The sequence below is a fragment of the Homo sapiens genome, chromosome 6 (genome assembly GCF_000001405.40).
Source record: "Homo sapiens chromosome 6, GRCh38.p14 Primary Assembly".
Classification (NCBI taxonomy): Eukaryota; Metazoa; Chordata; class Mammalia; order Primates; family Hominidae; genus Homo; species Homo sapiens.
The window spans coordinates 97157436-97179866 of record NC_000006.12 but is presented as its reverse complement, the minus strand read 5'-3'; the positions used below and the strand labels follow the sequence as shown (position 1 = coordinate 97179866).

General features: G+C 34.2%; 1 protein-coding gene across 20 annotated transcripts in view; it reads left to right on the top strand.

Moving 5' to 3' along the window:
• MMS22L (MMS22 like, DNA repair protein) overlaps window positions 1-22431 on the top strand; it is a 141875-nt gene that overhangs the window by 104169 nt on the left and 15275 nt on the right. For 19 of the 20 annotated variants that reach the window (NM_001350600.2, XM_047418577.1, NM_001350599.2 and 16 more), the window contains 6 exons: window positions 308-459; window positions 1282-1424; window positions 6645-6804; window positions 11627-11796; window positions 14410-14621; window positions 17702-17865. In NM_001350600.2, coding sequence (NP_001337529.1) covers window positions 308-459; window positions 1282-1424; window positions 6645-6804; window positions 11627-11796; window positions 14410-14621; window positions 17702-17865 — 1001 coding nt within the window. Of the gene's footprint in view, window positions 1-307; window positions 460-1281; window positions 1425-6644; window positions 6805-11626; window positions 11797-14409; window positions 14622-17701; window positions 17866-22431 lie in introns of those variants that run through there. The other variant, XR_942376.2, reaches the window with a different exon arrangement.

The window sequence follows — 22431 nt, the reverse complement described above, 5'->3', positions numbered from 1 at the left end:
TTTCCTTGGTAGCCACATTCTTTCTTGTCTTCTTCCTTAACATAAACCTACACATATGCCATCAGTGGAAAAAGGAAAATTGAAAATTATAACATTAAAAATGAAAAGAAGGATATTTGTTTAACATCTTTTTGGGTTTATCTGTAGTATTCATTTTCAACAATGCATGCCTACGTTAGTGTGTTTGTCTGAAAAATCAATGAGGCCAAGGAGTTGCAGGGATGTTAGAATGTTTTTCTTTACTTCTTAATCTCTATACTCAGGAAACGTTTTTGTTTTAAAAATATTTGTCAATTTGTTTCTACAGCACATTATGTGAAGCACTTTCTCATTCAGGCTATGTATCTTTTCAAGCCTTAACCGTAAGATCATGGATTCGTTGTGTTTTGCAAATGTATATTAAAAACCTCTCTGGGCCTGATGATTTGCTCATAGATAAAAATCTGGAAGAGGCAGTTGGTAAGTAAGTGTACGTTTTTTGGGGAGGATGGGGGTATCTATGGAAAGCTATTTGCTGTCTAGATCATTTGTTATGTAATTAATAGAAAATATACAAAATATTCGTAATTGGGTATGAATACAAGCAGAACTTAATTTCCTTTTGTAGCCTGTTTCCGTTTTTTTGTTTTGTTTTGTTTTTATTTTCCTGTTACTATATATGACAAACTTCTCTGCTATAAAAGATAAAAGAACTTGTTTCCTTGGAAGCCAAGGACAGAAATTTGCTTCTCAGGTGACAAGCTATTTTTTTAAAGAAACTGATCACGAAAAAAGTAGAACTCTGAAGCGAGTAACCAGATATCACACTGTGAACACCCTAAAAAGAAAAATACCCAATTATGAATAATTCTCTCCCATTTTATATTAGATATTTTGCCTTTCTTCTGCTTTACAAGTAGTCATTGAGTGATATCTGTACTTTTTAAAAAATGTCCCATGCAGTTCTGTTGTCTGTAGGACATGTCTTTTCCCAAAGCTATTGTTTGTGGCCACTTGTTATTTTCATGAAGGTTGGCCTGAAAAAAATCCTCCAAATTTATTTTAATATTTTATTATATTAGTTGGTGTTACATGAATAACTTTTGGGGCAAGGATGTTCATAAGTGAGAGAAATTTAATTTGAAGTCCTTGTGTGGAAATTTGAATTTTAAAAGAAAGCATGTCATAAGTGAAGAATACTGTATTACTTCTCATATATACATTATATATATGTTGTATGTGTGGTTATGTATATAGTATGTTATATAAATTGATATAACAAATACTATTTTATTTTAACAGAAAAAGAGTACATGAAACAGTTGGTCAAACTGACAAGATTACTATTTAATCTCTCAGAAGTAAAGAGTATTTTCTCAAAGGCCCAAGTTGAATATTTATCCATCTCAGAAGACCCTAAAAAAGCACTTGTTCGATTCTTTGAGGTATTTGTCATTTATTAGTATAATTGTCCAGATTAATTACAATTAATTTTCAGAAAAACCTGAAGTATTCTTAAAGTTTTTCTATAAAATGAATTCTTATAAATTGAATCATATTATTGATTGCCTGCTATTATAAAGTTCTGGAGGAAGAAAAATGTGAATCTAAGGTATAGTACAATTCACACTTAAGGACAGCAGAAAAATTACATTAATGAAGAATAATAAAACTAAAGAATACCACAAAAAAGCTTTACTCTAAGGCTAATCTAAATTGTAGGAATATTGACACAGTTGCTGGACAACCGCATTGTTCAGATGCTTGGGAACTGAATATCCTTGTAAACATTCCATGATACTCCCACCTTAGTGTTTATCACCCTGTAGCGAACAGTGTAGGCATAAGCACCATCTACTTCGTATGATAGTATAGTTGGAGCATTAAAATCCAATCCATTTGTTTTGTTTTGTTTCCATAATAAACAGTACCATTCAAAATTTTATTTTTAATTATTAATTGTACAGAAATTTATCTATGTGAGAGTGTTTGTTTTGCAAACCTAGTTGTTAATGTGTTTGGATTAGTGTCTTTTGTAAGCTATTAATTGTAAAAGTTGGTTTATTTTCCCACAGAGTGGTTGGTATTAGCTGCAGTGAAAATAATTAAAATCAATAAGCTCTTTCCATAAATGTTAATTCTTCCATTGGTTTCTATTAAGTTAAAGTACAATTGTATGACAATTAGAGATGTCATGCAATCTCTAAAAATATTTGATAATAGTAAATGCAGATGTAAAATACACATTCCATTTGGACCCTTATTTAGTTGTTGATTGGATCTGAACCTGCAATTAAATGCCTGTGGTGTGCTAGGAGCTATAATGGATCAGAAATAGAGCTAGAAATCAAGTTCTTCATTGATAGTTTTCATCTAGCCCAAATTAATTGTTCTTTCACCACTAAGAAAATGAGTTTTTTGCTGAATGCTAGATAATATTATGCTAGAACTTCGTAGGGATTTGAAAAATCAAAAGAAGTAGTTCTTTATCTCAGGTGGCCTTTACTTCTCTGTGGATATAAGACATACACAAAGACTAAAATAGTAACACAAGGCATTATATGCTAAGTGCCAGTTGGTTGACAGATCAATCAGTAGGTAAAGAATTTAAAGCATTTTAGTATAAGAAGTTTGGATTTTATCCTGTGAAGATTGTGAAGGCTTTGTAAGTTTTTAAGTAGATATGATTTGGTTAAATAATTTTTTTAATGAAAATAAGTAACAATAATATAACTTAAAGGTGCAGAGAACTGTTGGCCAAAAGCTAATGAGGTTTAGAAGGAATCAAAGATTGAATGGTTGTGGGATTTCTGAATGGATATGAAATAAATGCTGTGTTTGACTAAAAGAGTGATGATACCTTAAGGAGAAATAGGAACATCATGATTTAGGGTGACAGAGAAGTAGGTGAGGAATTCAGTTTTAAATTTATTCATTTTTAAGTTGTGTCAGGTCTCCCCAAGATTATCCCTCGGTTCTGTGATTCATAGGACTTAGCATATAGTTGTATTCACAGCTATGACTTATTAACAGAGGGATACGAAGCATAATCAGCAAAAGGAAAAGATGCATGAGGAAAAGTCTGAAGAAACCAGGGACAGCTTCCAAGATTCTTTTCCCAGTGAAATTACACAGGATATGCTTAATTCTTTCAGCAAGGAATTGTGACAAGACATGTGAAACACTACCTGCCAGGGAAGTTCCTTAGTGACTCAGTGCCCATGGTTATTATTGGGGACTGGTCACGTATGCCCTCTTTGCCTCATACTTAGAGAATTCCAGTTCCAGAAGGAAAGCAGGTATTCAGCATAAGCCATATTATTTGCATAGACCAGTTTAGGATCAAGGAATTGTAGGAAGCTTTTCAAAATCTAAGACCCCAAATACCAGCCAAGAGCCAGCCTTGCAAGCAGGACATTTTAAGAGTAGCAGTCTTGGGTCTGCTGTATTAACTCTTTTCTGCACAGAAATGATAGTATGACATCTAAGTTATTATTATCAAGGTACCGAGAAATACATGTTTTTTAGGCTAGGGAAGTTAAGCCTAAGCATAGAGCAATATTGAGAAGTCTAAGGCACTGGTGTTCAAAAGTGTAGTCCATAGACCCCTGGGAATTACTGATACCACCTGCTCAAAACAGTATTAATATTTGCACAAATAGTGTAAAATCTTTTACATGAATCAACACTGCGGCCCAAGATTATACTAGTATTCATTATAATTGATACTGCCATGCATTTACAGAAGAAAAAGCCAGTTTCACTTAAGAATATCTTCAATGAAGCAGTAAAATTATTTATTTTATTACGTTTTGACTCTTGAGTACATGTACTTTCAGTATTCCGTGAACGACAATGCAAAGTGCACTTAAAGCACTTTTGCTGCATACCAAAGCAATGTGGTTGCCTAAATGAAAAGCACTTGTGTGATTATTTGAGTTGCAAGCTGAACTGACTGCTTTTATCTTAAAAGAACAACTGACAAAGTATGGTTATTCAGACTTGGCTATTTGGCAGACATTTTCTCAAAAAATGAATGAAGTGAGCCTGTCACTTCAAAGCAAACAACTGACAGTATTTGTTGCTAATAATATAATTCAAGCTTTCAAGAAAATTAGAATTTTGAGAAACTTGTATTTGTCATCGTGATCTTGAGAGCTTCCCGATACTTATTTTCTGATGAGAATGGTGGTGGTATTAGCAGGTGTGATTTTTTTTTCCTGATATAAATAATGAAGTGTGTCAACATTGGGAAGCTGTGTAACTCAGTGAACCACAATTTTCCAAATGACGAATATAGGCTTTTTAAAAAGCATTCATGGATGTAAAAGATTCACTCAAAATACAGGATAGACCAATGGCTTTTAATTTAACAGAATATAAAATGTTTATTGACATGGTTTCAGACACCATGGTTTAGTTACAACTAATCTGTAGGAAATACCACTTGTCAAGTTTTGGTATAATAGCAAAGAGGAATTCTCATGGTTATGTGAAAAATCTTTCAAAATATTTCTTATTCTTCCAGCCACATATATTTTTGAAGCTGTATTTTCTTCATCTGCAGCATACCACAATAAATCATACAGGAGCAGATATAAGAATCAAGCTGTCTTTTATTAAGTCAGGCATAAAAGAGATTTGTAAAAATGTTAAAAAATACTACTTTTCTCACTAAATTTGTTTTTTGTTTGGGAAATAGTCTTTCACTAAAATATGTTACTTACATGTAATGTTCATTATCACTTTTCAATGAATTAATAAATAAAATTTTCTAATATCATAAATATCAATAGATATAACCCAAATAATTAAAAGCTCTTCAAGATCCTCCATTTTTAAGTGTGCAAAAGGGAACAGAGACCAAAGAGTTTGAGAACGTCTAGTCAAGGGAAAGAAGTGTAGAAAACAAAGGGAAGAGAGCTAAATAGAGAGGAATGGGATTAGTCAAGTATATCTCTTGTTCTTATCTGCTAATCTCACAGTCACTCATTTAGGTTCACTGACTTTCTTATCTTTTTCATTTCACATTTTATTGTCAGCATGTCCAACTTTAATGTCACCATGGATGACTTCTATTAAGCTTTCATTTCAAAGCTTCTGTAGTACTCTTTCAGTCTTTCAGTGAAAGAAGTAGTCTTTCACTTCTCCCCTACTTCATCCACCCACTTCCGTGACTAAACCCGGAGCAGTGGAATCTCTTGGAGCATCTGAAAGCTCATTGACTACCATCATCTGTCCTTCCAGCTCATGAGTGACCACACTGTAATCTTCCCCTCTCTGTTATCCTAGGACAACATTCTCCCAAGGCCTCACTTCCTTCCCTATTCACCATAATTAGACCCCTTAGGGCCTTACTTCAGCTACTCTTACCAACATTCTCACAATCTTGAATCTTTTTTCTTTTGGTCACACCTACAAACCCTCAACCTTGGCTCAGTGCAACCACCTCTTCTCTTTCCTTTGTCTTACATGCTGAGTGCTGCAGAAGAAAAATCACAGAACTGTTTGTATTGGTGCAATTCATGGTCCAATTTGGGTCATTGGAATTCATTATAAGTTCTCAAAAATGGTTTGAAAATTTTATTAGTTTACTTAAACTTTCTTTTTATTTTTTTTTTTTTTTTATTTTTTTTTTGAGACAGTCTTGCTCTGTCACCAGGCTGGAGTACAGTGGTGCGATCTTGGCTCACTGCAACCTCCACCTCCTGGGTTCAAGCCATTCTCCTGCCTCAGCCTCCCAAGTAACTATGACTACAGGCACACGCCACCACACCCAGCTAATTTTTGTATTTTTAGTAGAGATGGGGTTTCACCATGTTGGCCAGGATGGTCTCGATCTCTTGACCTCATGATCTGCCCACCTTGGCCTCCCAAACTGCTGGGATTACAGGCGTGAGGAGCCACCGCACCGGCCACTTTCCTTAAACTTTCTAATCCATCTCTTAGCCAGTCTTCTCTTGATTCTTTTGTGACCTTTCACCCCTTGCTTATTCTAACCTTTCCTCAATTTATTCTCTCATTTATTTCCTTTCCTCTTCTTCTCATGTCTCTGTTCTTCTCTTACTGATTCACCTCACATTTCTCTCTACCACTCTCCATTTTGCCATCTCTACCTTCTCTGCCCATCCTTTTTTTTTCCAAGAAGTTAAGCTGGCATCAGATGGCTCATAAAATTCTAGGAAGAAAAGTGAATTCATATAATAAAGCTGAACTTTTTAGAGGTTTTGCTTGTAAAAATTTGGCATTACTTGTAGGTTTTCCTTGTAGGGGAATTTGGGGATTTTGAATTCCTAGTAATCTGGGAAATATGGTGAGCCAACCTGTCTGGAAGTCATGATGTGATTTAGTTACAAGGTATGTGTACATAAGTTTCACATTTTTTTTTCACTGATATTTTGCTAAGTCGGCCCTTCTATAAGTAGTTATTGGTGAGTTTTTAAGATTTCTTCCTTTAACCTTTATTTTAATAATAAAAGACAAGACTTAATTCTTTTTACTTGTGTTTTAATTCCTATGTCTCTTTATTGGAAGGTTACAAATGAAGGCTTAAATGTAAAGGGTATGGGTGCGTATGTAGAAAAAGAGAGAAAAATTATCTTTATGTTCCAAATCTTTATGGTATAAACTTTGGGAAGTTAAATAATGTTTTTCTTTATTTATAGGCTGTTGGTGTAACTTACGGGAACGTCCAGACACTTTCTGATAAATCTGCCATGGTCACAAAGTCCTTGGAATACCTTGGTGAAGTATTAAAATATATTAAGCCTTATTTGGGAAAAAAAGTTTTCAGTGCAGGGCTGCAGCTGACTTATGGAATGATGGGTATGTATTCCTGGCATTATTTTGCTAGTAACATTTCCTTAGGTTGAGCCTATACTATCATGATGGATAGGTATATATTGGCTAAATCACTACCCTCCATACAATCATAAGAGTAATCTGAAATACAGTGATTTAGCTTAAAATAATTCATGTTGGCCTTCAAATGTATCTCTGTCTTGCTCTATCTCTTTTCAATACTTTTGATTGTTTTAATATTAAAATTATGATCAATACAGAAAATATGCTGGCACCAATTGCTTTCAGTAGTCTGTCATGAGTCACATTTCAATACCTGAATAACTAGAATGGACCTTTTTTAAAAAAACGCTTATCTATTGTTAGAATTAAAAACATCAGAAAACTATCGCTTACATCTATTTCTATGCTCTGCTCTGTATGAAGGAGATAGGATTTAATACAGCACTAAAAATATTTATGCTTCAAATCTTGTTTCTCACAATACTCTTCCCTTTTCAAAAAGAAATCATTTTCTATGCCCGTTCTATAACAATGGAGTTTATCTTTCTTTAGGAAGTCAGTGATTAACATATCTTTTTTTCACGAAAACCATGGTGCTAACCAAAACTAGGAATTGGATAAAGGTAAATGAGAAAGATTTCCTTAGAAGTTTTTATATAGAATTTAAGTTTTTTGTTTTTTTCCTTTATTTCTCTGTGGTCAAAACCTTTTATCTGTTCCCTTTAATCTTATGAATGTATGAGTAAGCCTGATTCGGGTTGTCTGAAACCTTTTATCTTTGTTGTAAAAGATAAAGGCGAATGTGAAAATGTGTAAATATAGAAGATGTAAATTACAGGAAAAGCTATAGCAATTCAGGCATCTTAATTTTAGAGAAAAATGTAAGTGAGAATTTATAAGTTTAATAGTAAAATACACATTAATAAATATATTGGCATTCATGCTTATAATTTATTAGTGTCTACAAAAGTTTTCTGTTTCCAGATTTAGATTTTTGCCAAGATAAATGTCTGATATAGACATGGGACAAAATTCTACTTAGGAAAAATTGAAGACTTTCTTTGCTTTGCTGCCTTGTTGATTTTTGTCTCCATGCGCAGATCTGTATTCTTTCCTTTTGTCTAGGTTTCAAAGACTAGGAAGAGTATATTGCTACAGTGTTGCCCATTTATTTGTTAGGAATTAGGATAGGTAACTTAATGATTTCTTCATGTTAAAGGATTAGAATAAAACAGAGAAAGAGCAAAGTATAAACTTTGGAGAGCTCCAAGGTGTTTTAAAATGTGTTGGGGTTGGGATAGCATAACCATTTGAGGGAAGGAGTTAACCACTGAAACACTGTACTCTATTTACCTTGACAGTTCCTAACTGGGGACACCTCTGCTGTTCACTTACAAGGTTGCAAGACTGCTAGTGAAAGGCACAGAACTGTTGATGAAATCACCTTTCATATTAAGGAGAAGGCATCTGTGATCTTAATTGTAGCTCAGTTATTTCTGAAAAGGCATGGTGGATCCATCAACTTCTCTCCTCTGTAGATTTTGTTTTGTTTTGTTTTTCTCATTCTTCATATCTGATAGTTTTCTGTTTCCATGTATAAAGCTTTCAATCATCCCTGTCTCTTTGGCCATTCTTCCCCATTTTGCTTTGTAATTGAAATTCAAGTCATGACCCTTTGGTGCCAAGTGCAAATTTCCCCACTTTTCCCACATTGCCAAGTAGACTTGATCATCTCTCTCATTACACTTCATCTATCCTTTTCTTGTGATATGATATTATTTATAGTTTGCCATTTGTTAAAATTACTTGTGTACTTGACATGCCCCCACCAAATTTCAAACTTGTAGTAGCCATCTCTTGAATTTTTTATTCCCATTGTCATGTATTTTGAACAAAAAAGAACAATTATTATGTATCAGGTGCTGGATTGAGAGTTAGGGATACATTAGTTAAAGAGCTCCAAAGTAGGAGATAGTGTATACTATATAAATATTTATGGAATTTAATGACTTTATTAATCTAGCAATAGTATATATTTTTTAATGTTCTTTTTGTTTTTCTTTGTTGTTGTTGTTTTTGAGACAGAGTCTCCCTCTGTCACCTATGCTGAAGTGCAGTGACGTGATCTCAGCTCACCGCAACCTCTGCCTCTGGGTTTAAACAATTCTCGTGCCTCAGTCTCCTGAGTAGCTGGGACTGCAGATGTGCACCACCATGCCTGGTTAATTTTTGTATTTTTACTACAGACAGGATCTCACTATGTTACCAAAGCTGGTCTTGAACTCCTGGGCTCAAGCAGCCTGCCTGCCTCAGCCTCCCAAAGTGCTGGGATTACAGGTGTGAGCCGCTGTACGCAGCTTTTAATGTTCTTAAATGAACAAAATTACTTTCTAACTATAAAGATTTAAAAATGTATATTGTAGTGATCCCAATTTTTACGTAGGGTAGAAAGTAGGCAAAATACATAGGATAGAAAATACAGAGGATAGAAAATGAGTAAATACTCAAGAGCTTGTATAGTGGTTATCATTGAATGGAGAGATTGTATTAAATTTTTTTGTATTTTCAGTTTTATTTGTTAATAAATAATATATTTATAGCCAGAAAAAGAAAAAAAAAAACTTAGGTTTTTACAAAGGTACTGTATGTATTTAAACCTTTCCCAGTTTTTTACTTTAAAAATCTTTTTATATTTCCATTTTGCATTTTTAATAACACACACACAAATATTCATTGCTGAAACCTAAAAAGTAGGTGTCTGATAGCAAGGAGTAAAACAAATATCTCCACCTTATATGAACTCCTAAAGCTTACAGTCTTCAACAAAGTGTTTCAACCGTTGCAGAAAATGAAATACAGTAGTTTCCCCTTATTCATGAGGGATATGTTCAACACCACTAGTGGATGCCTGAAACCGCAGATAGTACCAATCCTATGTATGCTGTGTTTTTGCCTATACATACATACTTATGATAAGGTTTAATTCATAAATAAGGCACATAAGAGTTTAACATAATAACTAATAATAGTATTAATAGAACAGTTGTGACAATAGACTCTAATAAAAGTTATGTGAACTTTGTGTCTCTCTCTGACTGCCTTCCCCACCCCCTCGTCAAAATATCTTATTGGTATCCTATACCACGGGCAACTAAACTATACCACGTGGTACCCTATATCACCGGTAACTAAACTATACCATGTGGTACCCTATAGCACGGGTAACTAAAACTGTAGAAAGTGAAACATACCTGTATTGCACCTGAGAGTAATAAGAATCATTTCATATGCCAGTGATGATAGCAGTTCCCCTTACAGGTATATTAATGTTTTTAGAATATAAGTTCTTCTAATATTGCTGTCATACTGAAATTCTCCACCAACTGAAGAAATGAGGAGCAAGCCAGCATTATTTAAAACTTTGCTAAGTGAACATTGTTTCTTTATGATTGATTATTGTACTTCCTTTTACAACAAAAGATGAATGTTGCTGTTTGTTCTTAAAAGTGATAATTTGTTGAGTTTTTTTCTTTAACATCAGTATACTTTTCCATAAGCATATTTTGGTTTTCCTTCAGAGCTTAAATTTTAAACTCTTTATTTGATGGAAATGACTTTGAATTTTATCGTTTTTGCTTTCTAGGATGGAATAAAATATAAAAGTTTATGCAGTAGATGTACCACTGTGCTTTTTGGATAAGCATTTAATCTGTTTTTAAATTCATTTTTCAGTAAGGAGACCTCAATAGTAATAATATATCCTAATGGGAATTATATATCTGCTCTTAATTACTTTATTAAACAAAGGGTGCTCATTTGTTAAGCTTTATTATCATCAGATGTGGCAATTAACAGACTTCTAGCACCAAGGAAGCCATAATATATTTCAAGTAGCAAAGAAATCTGTTTCTCTTCATTCAGAATTAAAATTTTGTTTGTTTATATTAAATAATGGAAAGGTGTAAAAACTGAAGTTCATGGAGGTTAACTGAAGTTGGTGGAGGTTAAGTGATTAGCTTATAGCTAATCCTGCTTTCCATGTATTAACAATTAAATTTAATTATACTTCTGTTGCAAACTGGATTGAGGCCACTTACATGTAAGATTAAAATATGAAGAAATAGGGGTACCAACAAATAAATATAGAGTTTCATGGTGAGGCCCAGGGAAAATTAGTATGCATATAAAACCATAATGTATAATCCTACAGTATTCTTTAAAAGGTGGATTGTTAATTTGCATTTGGGCATCCTAGCAACTCAGAGGGAAAGCAGAAAGGGAAATCCTGAATAATTTCAACATTCAGCCAATGTAGTCACATAATGTATAAATATATTCCACTGTATGTGTGAGTGTAAACAGGTTGACTAGCCCTTGTCTAAAATTCTTGGGACTAGAAGTATTTTGGAGTTCAGATTTTTTTGGATTTTGGAATACTTGTAGTATACTTAACCAGTTGAGCACCCCTAATCCAACAGTGTGAAATTTGAAATGGTCTAATGAGCATTTCTTTTGATCATCATGTTGGCACTCACAAACTTTTGGATTTTGGAGCGTTTCAGATTTTATATTTTCAGATTAGGGATACTTAACCAGTGTATATATTAAATGCCAGTTGCTCGGAAAATGTATGTTTTCCTTGGCCCAAAACTCTATGAAAAATTTGTCTCTTTAGTGAAATATATGAATTGACATAAATATTTGTTACTTCTACTATATGTCTCTTCCTATTCCCTACTTTAATTTGGTCCCATGTGCTTTCAATACAAATTTTTAAATTAAGTGACAAAATGTTCTGGTCAGAGGATAACAACAACATGCTGTTACTTCTCTTCTTTGTTAGGAATTCTTGTGAAATCATGGGCACAAATCTTTGCCACTTCTAAAGCCCAAAAATTACTATTCCGGATCATAGATTGTTTACTGCTGCCACATGCAGTATTACAGCAAGAGAAGGAACTGCCTGCACCTATGTTGTCAGCAATTCAGAAAAGTCTTCCTTTGTATCTCCAGGTATAGTATCTGTGGTTGCTTAAAAGTTTAAAAAAAAAATATTGAAACTTTGCCTTAAAAACATAGTTTACTAAATGCAGATTTAAAAACTGTACATTATAATCTCAAATGCTTGTGTGGCACATTTATTGAACATATTTTAAATTGCTTTTATGTTTGGCTTTGGAAACAAAAATGAAAAAGCAGAGGAGCTTAAAGTTGAGAGAGGAGGTAGATGAGCACAGACACTTATGGTAGTGTGCTCAGTATTTTTTTTTTCAGACCTCATCTATTAGACTATGGGTGAGGAGATATAAGAGAATACACTGTAGAGGACATCAGAGGTAAAAGAGCAAAATGGGTAGGAGTTGGAGGGCTTTTCATTTCAGAGGGAGCAACATGTACAAGGGCATGAGCTTTAAGAAAATATAGAATGGTTCTGTTGTGGCTGGAGAGTCATATGGGAGGAGCCATGTAATGGAGGGCTTTATATTCCATCCTAAGAAGTTTGGACTTAATCTTTTACATGGGGACCTGATGAATTTGGAGCAGAGAAGTAGAAGTGACATAATGATATTTACATTTTAGAAAGATGATTCTGGTGGTCATATGTAAGATAATTGGTGTGGAGGTTTTGGAAAGCAGTGGTAACTAGTTCCTTGTAATAATCCACATATTGTCAGAAGGTTTTGACCTAAGGCAGTGGGAATAAAACCCATAACAGCAGATTTCAAAAACATTTGGGAGCTGTGATTAAGAGTACTTGCTAATTGAGTGTTGTGGAGGAACTCAAAGAAGTGAAATGCTTCCTAGATTCCAGAGTGGCTATCTGCGTAGATAGTAGTTCTACTTACTAACGTGGGAAATCCTGGAGATGTCGGGATGAAGGTAAGGATTGGTTTCTGAGCAGCTTTAGTTTGAGGTAGGCAGTTGGAAATATTGATCTGCCATTCAGGAAAGGATGAGACTGGAGGTGTACTTTATTATTCATTAGTGTCTGATGTTAAAGATAAGTGCTTCTTAATTTGAGGTCCAACAAGGGAAGCTGAGGAGGAAAGGGAAAATGGATTTTGATTATGTAACAATCTTTTTTCAAAGATGTATTTCTTAACAGAGTTTTAAGATTCCTGAGAAGTTTTAAATTTTCCCTCTAATTTTTATTCATAATAGCATTTAAAATGAAGTTTAGTGTGTTAATCTAGCAGAATGACAAAAAGGGGAGGCAGCCACACCACAGCCTGAACCGCCAATCCCACAGAGGGAGAGATGAATAGAGGGGAGTGGTGAGCAGCAGGAGAGTCTGGAATATTTCTTCCATGTGGTCCTCTTAAACCCAAACAGTCCATTTAATAAGAATTCTCTTAAGCTTCGTAAGTGGTAAATTTAAAAGTTTGGTGTATTATCTGTTTGGTAGAACTGGAGCTATGTCTTTAATTTCTTCATGGTACCCAGCTCTCCTCTTCGGAATTTTCAGAAAATATTCATTTATTACTTCATCTTCTTCTGATTTAATGTGCTTTTCCTTAAACTACTCAAGAAACAGAGTTGGTGGTGGCGGGTGGGTTGGGGGAGGGGTTCATTGTTTGATTTTTTTCAGTTGTTTATTTGGTACAGTTTTAACAGCTGTATGCTATTTTTCATTACAAATAAACTTTCAGAATTTCTTATTGGGTAAGTACCCGTTTACAACTAAAATGGAGACTTCAAACATTTTAAATTATTTCTCTTGGAAAATACGTTGTGAGTCACCAAGTACCAAATTAAGAGTTAACTTTTATAATATAATGTATTGCTGTGTTGGTGATTATCTATATTTAGTAGCATTTAATATTTACTAATACTAGCAGAAAACATTATTTTCTCTCAGAGTATTGGTTTAAGTATTAAATACTGTAATATATATGAAAGTATTTTGTTAACTGCTATACAAATGTAAGAGATTAAATAAACAGACATGCAACCAGATATCAAGAGTTCTGTGTGACTGTATTAAACTCTTCACTTTTCTAAACCTTAGTTATCCTAGCTGTAAAATGGAGATACAATATTACTAACTCAGTGGTTCTTTGAGAAATTTAAATGAAATAGTGAATATAAAGCACACAGCACAGTGCCTGTTATAGGAAAACTAAGTAAATTGTTATTCCGAGTCTTAATTTCCATATTCCTCGCCCTTTGTTATTACTTTAAAAAAGATTATCAGATTTTTAGCATGGAAGACTTTTAGCAAAAATTGTATAGTCTTAGACAAAATAACCAGTACCTAGAAAAAAATGACCTAAAGGTGTTTTATAACTTTGTAAGTACACATAAATGTAGTTGATGAGCAAGATGTTCAAGTGTTCTGATGATTACAGGAAAAGAATCTGCCTTTGTCTTCCTACTGTTCTCCCCTGCTTCCTTTGTCCACACCTCAGACACACATGCTTAGTTAGATGCCATATCATATGTATTGCCCAGGCTTAACTCCTTGTAATTCGTATGTACATTATCTGTGGATTACGTGAGGTATCCTTTTTGATTTTTATATTCTCACATGATTATTAATGCTGGGGACTTCATTAGTGAGTTTCTAAATATTGTTTGTTCTTTGAAACTTTACCTCTTAGTATTTCTTACTTTTTTTCCTTGTAGGGCATGTGTATCGTGTGTTGTCAATCTCAAAATCCGAATGCCTATTTGAATCAATTGCTAGGGAATGTTATTGAGCAGTATATTGGGCGATTTCTTCCAGCTTCACCATATGTTTCAGATCTTGGACAACATCCTGTTTTGCTGGCATTGAGAAACACAGCCACTATTCCACCAATATCATCTCTAAAGAAATGCATTGTGCAAGTCATAAGGTACATCTAAATATTAAATATAGGTGGTATGTACAAATTATTAAGCTCTATTAAAGTGATAAAGTGGCATTTCAAACATATTGGCAACCCTTAGGATACTAGTAGTTCAGAAGCTTTTTGTTTTCCTGAGAAGCATTATCTAAGATTTTATTAAAATGACATTTGCTTATGGCAGCCTAAGACAATGCTCTTTAAATTCCTTCTCTTTTCTCTATGTAGCTATTACCTTCCTTATATATGTCCTAAAGGTATATTTTTGCTTTTTAGTTTTTCATCAGATAAACAATATTTGTATTTTATACTGTATAAAACACAGTAATTATATTTGGCTGGGTGTGGTGGCTCACACCTATAATCCCAGCCCTTTGGGAGGCAGAGGTGGGTGGATTACTAGAGGTCAGGAGTTCGAGACCAGCCTGGCCATCATGGTGAAACCCAGTCTGTACTAAAAATACAAAAAAATTAGTTGGACATGGTAGCGGATGGCTCTAATCCCAGCTACTCAGGAGGCTGAGGCAGGAGAATTGCTTGAATCTGGGAGGCAGAGGTTGCAGTAAGCTGACATTGTGCCACTGTACTATAGCCTGGGTGACAGAGCGAGACACCATCTCAAAAAAATAAAATACAGTAATTATATTTTATAAAGATAATTAAGTGAAAAAATGAATGCTAATATTGGAAATGAAGCACCCTGAAGTCTTGTTAGTTTAGTCTTAACTCAGTTTTATTAAGCAAATGAAAAACAAAACTTCTTAAATATTCTACTAAGTCTATATCCTTTAACTTTAACATTAGAAAGTTCAGTAATAAAAAATGTTTTGTCATTGCCTTCATGTATTATTTATTTTTATATGAAATTAGCTTTTAAACTTTAAGATGCTATGGTGATGTATGTTATTCTTATCTAGTATTAGTTTTCTGTGTTTTTTAATGACCCAATAATATCTGTTACCTCTCATAGAATTCCATGCCTAAAATCTGTCTCCCCTCTCACCTTTTTGAGTTCTTAGTGTCCTGTTACTCAGGTTTGGAAGCTTTATCTTCTTTGCTTCCTTTCCTTGCCCATCCTTTGGCAATCCTGTCCTCCTTTTCCTATTTCTCTTCCCTTAGTGCATTATACCTAGACTATTGTCAGAATCTCCTGACTGCTTTCTGCATCTCTAGTCTTTTCTTCTAGTCCACCCTAAACAATGCCCCCAGATTACTTTTCCTAAAATACTCTTTCATTATGAAACTTCCCTGCCATTAAACCTGCAATATCTTTTTTGTCCATGAAATAAATTTCATGCTCCTTAGCTCTCTGCAATCCATCACTTACCGTTTCCAAATGTATTACATATGGTGTCATACAACCCCTAATAAGATTCATATTGCCCCTCCAAAATGCCTCATACCTCCCTATGTCACAGCTTTATTCAAATTGCTTTCTCCATTAAAATGTCATTTTTTTGGGCTAAATCCCACGTATCCTTTATAAAACCTACACCTGATATGTCAGTGTACCATGTATGTTTCCTTTTTTGAAATCATATGCCCTGTACAGCTCAATTTGCAGAATTATGATAGTTTTGCCTTACTTGTATCTGAATTTCCAACAGGATTGTAGTAACCTAACACAGTGTTTGAGATATTGCATAAGTAATTATAGTACAAACTAAATGACAGATGCTGAAGTGAAATTGAATCTGTAAAACTGTTTAAAACCCCAGTGTTTAGGATCCCAGAATTAGTTGACTTTCCTATTTACTTAACACACAGTGAAAATGTTTTTCTTGTGGTTTATAGTTGAAGGCTTTTTTTTTAATACTCAGGAAAGATATAGAGATTGTCTTCTATGACTTCTTCCATGCCATGCTTCTCTATTCCTGCACTCCCTCATCTGAGTTAGGGCTCTTTTCTCTGAATTCCTGAGAATTCTGTGCTTATCTTTGTCAAAAGCACCATTATGCTATATTATAATTGTCTTTTTCTTTTTCTCATTTAACTTCTCCACTCCATGGTGGGCCTCTTGCTTTCAGAGACCATATTTTATTCAATTTTATATTCTTGTTCTTAGACATGTACCTGGCATTCCACTGGCGCCCAATATATGTTTGTTCTAGGCATTAGGAATTCAGCAGTAAACAAAATTGGACAAAACCTCAAAGAATGAATTTTCTAATATGTAGTATTTGTTGGAAGTCACTGTAGGGAATAGAAATAATTACTAAGACATAGTTCCTGTCCTTATGTTTATAATACTTAGTGGTTTCTCTTCCTTATGGTTATTATTACTTTGCAAATATATATATATATGGATGTCTAGTTTATATTTAGCTGTATTTGACAGATTTTCACATTGTCTAGACATTTGTAGAAACTAAGCAATTCCAACTTTTATTTATTCACTTAATAAATGTATACTGAACACTTGTTATGGGCCCGGACCTGTTCTAAGAGGTGAGAATATACAAAGATGAGTCAAATTATTATCCTTATGATCGCTCTTGAGTTCTAGTACTAAATTTTGTCTTGTCTTGAGAGATAATGCTAAATCCTAAATTAGTTCTCTGAGTCTTTAACTTGCTGGAGGAAGGAAGGAGATAAAGCTTGAGTGTCCTATCTTATTCCTAGGACAGTCCTCTGTTTGTTTGGAAAAATAAGACTCCTTCCAAGTCCTTAAATAAATAGATATGAAGAGAGATTTCTTTATGCAAATTTGACATTAGAGAAAATGTTGCGGCATTGAGGACCCAATGGAGGAGATCAGACTTGTATTAGAAAGGGAAAAAAAAAACCTGCAAATTAACAGTTAGGCTTTCATTTGGATTTTGAGTTCATTTTAAAACAAGGTTGCTTTCAATTTAGTTTGTGACTATATTGTGCTTTGGCCCTCAGAACACACCAGAAAGATATACAGTCAGTCATTGCTTCTAAAATCCTATGTTTGAAGATAGCATGGTAAAATATACATACTTTATACAAGTGGCACTGTATTAATTTGGGGGGTAAATTTTGCCAATATCTTTAAATTATATGCCATTTGGTCTTGCTCTATTGAAGCTTTAAGCAGAGAATAAACAAATTTTGCTTCTTTTCAGGAAATCCTACCTTGAGTATAAGGGGTCCTCACCTCCTCCTCGCTTAGCATCCATTCTGGCCTTCATCCTCCAACTCTTCAAGGAAACTAACACAGACATTTATGAAGTTGAACTACTCCTCCCTGGCATTTTAAAATGCTTGGTGTTAGTCAGTGAACCACAAGGTTTGTTTGTAAGCTTATTTTTGTTACCATTTTCTTTTTACAAGTTAAGAAACTACTGTTTCCCCTCAATTTAATGGATAGTTACAAAATATATGTGATTCTTTTATATCTCTTGATATGGGTCATGGTTAAAGAATAAACTCCAGCTAGCAGCTCAGATTAGGTATGATAAAATGGTTAAAAACTGAGATGTTTTGGTCCATTTTAGTTTTGGCTTTTTTTCTCCCCTTGAGGCAAATAGTTTATTTAAGGGTTACTTCCCTTGATTAGATTTGTTAACCTCTCAAAGAATATTTGTTCAATTTGACTTCAGTATTAAAGGCAATTTGTTAAATATCAAGTAATGAGAGGTCATCATACTTTTTTTATTCAGGTTTTTGCTGGAATATCTAAGCTGATTTTTGAGGCAAACCGGTAGGGGTCCTTTGATTCTACTCCTTTTGTTTTCAGTCTCATCAGCCTTACTTCCAGTGATTGCTTTAAAATAACATTTATTGGCCTGGCATAATGGCTCACACCTGTAATCCCAGCACTTTGGGATAGAGCTCTTAGGTCAGAATAAATCTCAAGCACTGACCTCAAAGGAGCCTGAATTTGATTAGATTAGTCCTTAAAGCAATTTATGCCCCAGTGTATTACTAAAAACATTAAAACAATCACCCAGAAATTAATTAGTGGAGCTTAACAGCTGAGTGTGATCAGGGAAAGGGACAGTCAAAGAGAGTCCTGCCAAAACCATTGTCTTCACATGGAGACTGTGGGCGTACCTGAGGTTACATCACCTCAGAAGCAATATCTAAGGCAGTGAGAGGGCAAGAGGAGGAGTGGACTTCATTATTTAAAAAGCCCAATTTTCACCAAAAAATTACAGGACATGCAAAGAAACAGACACATACAATCCATATACTGAGAATAAAAGCAGGCCACAGGAACTGCCAGTGAGAGCAGTCAGATATTGTCTTTAACAGACAAAGACTTCAAAGTAACTATTATAAATATAGAACTAAAGGAATGTGTGATAAATGAAGAAAACGAAAGTATGGTGGCAATAGGGAAAGAAATTTTATGAAAAGAACCAAATGGAAATTTTGCTGAGTTGAAAATTTCACCAGAGGGGCCCATTAGTGGATTAGAACTGGCAGAAGAAAGAATTAGCAAACTTGAAAATAGATCAATACAGATCATACAATCTAAAGCACAGAGGACAAAAAAATGAAGAAAATGAACAGAGCTGTTGAGAAATGTGGAACACCATTAAGTGCACCATATATACAACAGGTGAACCAGAAGAAGAGAGAAAGCCAAAAAAATTGAAAATAAAATATAATTTCTAAAATTTTTTCAAGTTTATTCAAGAATATTAACTTATACATTCAGGAAGTTCCACTAACTCCAGGTAAGGTAAATGCAAAAAGATCCACAAACAGATACATTATAGTAAAGATGCCAAAAGCTAAAGGCAAAGAAAATCTTGGAAGTAGCCAGAGAAAAATGACTCATCCTCTACAAGAAACCCCAGTAAGATTAACAGCTGACTTCTCAGAGGAAACTGGGGGCCAGAGACAGTGGGATAGCATTCACAGGAATTAAAGCAGGAGTGTAGAGGGGGACCTGTCAACCAAGAATCTTTTTTCAGCAAAGCTACCTTTCAAAACTGAAGATGAAACAGACCTTCTCAAATAAATTAAAACTGAGAGAATTTGTTGCTAACAGACCCACCTTTTAACAAAATGCTAAAGGAAGTTTTTCAGACTGAGACTGACCCCAGGCAGTAATTTGGATCCACATAACACACAAAAGAATTCTAGTAAAGATTATCATATAATTATTAAGACAGTATAAATTCACATTTTTTCATCTTTATTATCTTAACTGGTTTTTAAAAAGCATTTGTATAAAATAATATTGTTGGGCCTATAACTTATAGAAATATAGTATTTTATCAATAACAATAAAAAGGAGGTGGTGAGAGAAAACAGTATTAGGCTAAGGAAAGGACTCCACATGGCAACTCAAATACCTGGGAATAAATGAAAAAAAAAAAAAAAAAAAACAGAAATGATAAATAAGAAGGTTAATATAGGATGAGTATTCCGTATCCAAAATGCTTGGGAACAGAAGTGTTTTATATATCAGATTCTTTTGGATTTTTGAATATTTGCATATTTATTATGAGGTATCTTAGCAGCAGGACTCAAGTCTAAACATGAAATTCATTTATGTTTCATATATACCTTAAACATGTAGCCTGAAGGTAATTTTTTACAATATTTATAAATAGTATATGCAACTTGTCACATGAAGTCAGGTGTGGAATTTTCCACTTATGGCATCAGGTCAGCTCAAATACTTTCAGATTTGGAAGCATTTGGAATTTTGGATCTTTGGAATGCTGGACCTATATAGCAGAAGTTAAGATATGTATTTGCTGTTCTCTCTTTTCTTAGCTTCTTTGAAAGACATAAATTTATATAAAGTAAAAATTACAACAGTATACTTTTAAGTTTTAACATTTGTAGATATTATATAATAAGTATAACAATACCACAAAAAGGGAGAGAAATAAATAGAGCTATATAGTGCATAGGATTTATGTTTCTGTATTTCACTAGAATTAGTATAAATTTGAAGCTCTGATAAGTTAAGGTATATATGGTTAGCTTAGAGTGACCACAAAGGAAATAGTTCAAAAATAATTAATAATTAAATGGGCTAAATGCCCCGATTAAAAGACACAGGCTGGCAAATTGGATAAAGAGTCAAGATTTATCAATGTGCAGTATTCAAGAGACCCATCTCAATGTGCAAAGGCTCAAAATAAAGGGATTAAGGAAGATTTACCAAGCAAATGGAAAGCAAAAAAAAAAAAATCAGGGGTTGCAGTCCTAGTCTCTGATAAAACAGACTTTAAACCAACAAAGATCAAAAGAGACAAGGCCATTACATAATGGTAAAGGGATCAATGCAACAAGAAGAGCTAACTGTCCTAAATGTATATGCACCCAATACAGGAGCACCCAGATTTATAAAGCAAGTTCTTAGAGACCTACAAAGAGACTTACACTCCCACACAATAATAGTGGGAGACTTTAACACCCCACTGTCAATATTAGATCAATGAGATAGAAAATTAGCAAGGATATCCAGAACTTGAACTCAGCTCTGGACCAAGCAGACCTAATAGACATCTACAGAACTCTCCACCCCAGATCAACAGAATATACATTCTTGTCAGCACCACATCGCACTTATTCTAAAAATGACCACATAATTGGAAGTAAAACACTCCTCAGCAAATGTAAAAGAACAGAAATCACAACAAACTATCTCTCAGACCACAGTGCAGTCCAGTTGGAACTCAGGATTAAGAAACTCACTCAAAACCGCACAACTACATGGAAACTGAACAAGCTGCTCCCGAGTGACTACTGGATAAATAACAAAATGAAGCCAGAAGTAAAGATGTTCTTTGAAACCAGTGAGAACAAAGATATAACGTACCAGAATCTCTGGGACACATTTAAAGCAGTGTGTAGAGGGAAATTTATAGCACTAAATGCCCACAAGAGAAAGCAGAAAGATCTAAAATTGACACCCTAACATCACAATTAAAATAACTAGAGAAGCAAGAGCAAACAAATTCAAAAGCTAGCAGAAGACAAGAAATAACTAAGAGCAGAACTAAAGGAGATAGAGACACAAAAAAACCTTCAAAAAAATCAGTGAATCCAGGAGCTGGTTTTTTGAAAAGATCAACGAAATAGACCACTAGCTAGACTAATTAAGAAGAAAAGAGAGAAGAATCAAATAGATGCAATAAAAAATGATAAAGGGGTTATCACCACCGATCCCACAGAAATACAAACTACCATCGGAGAGTACTATAAAGAACTCTACACAAATAAACTAAAAAATCTAGAAGAAATGGATAAATTCCTAGACACATACATCCTCCCAAGACTAAACCAGGAAGAAGTCGAACATCTGAATAGACCAATAACAGGTATTGAAATTGAGGCAGTAATTAATAGCCTACCAACCAAAAAAAGCCTAGGACCAGACAGATTCACAACTGATTTCTACCAGAGTTACAAGGAGGAGCTGGAAACATTCCTTGTGAAACTATTCCAATCAATAGAAAAAGAGGGAATCCTCCCTAATTCATTTTATGAAGCCAGCATCATCCTGATACTAAAACCTGGCAGAGACACAACAACAAAAAAAAATTTTAGATCAATATCCCTGATGAACATCAATGCAAAAATCCTCAATAAAATACTGGCAAACCGAAGCCAGCAGCACATCAAAAAGCTTATCCACCACGATCAAGTCGGCTTCATCCCTGGGATGCAAGGCTGGTTCAACATATGCAAATCAATAAACATAATCCATCACATAAACAGAACCAATGACAAAAACCACATGATTATCTCAATAGATGCAGAAAAGGCCTTTAACAAAATTCAACAGTACTTCATGCTAACAACTCTCAATAAACTAGGTATTGATGGAACGTGTCTCAAAATAATAAGAGCTGTTTATGACAGACCCACAGCCAATATCGTA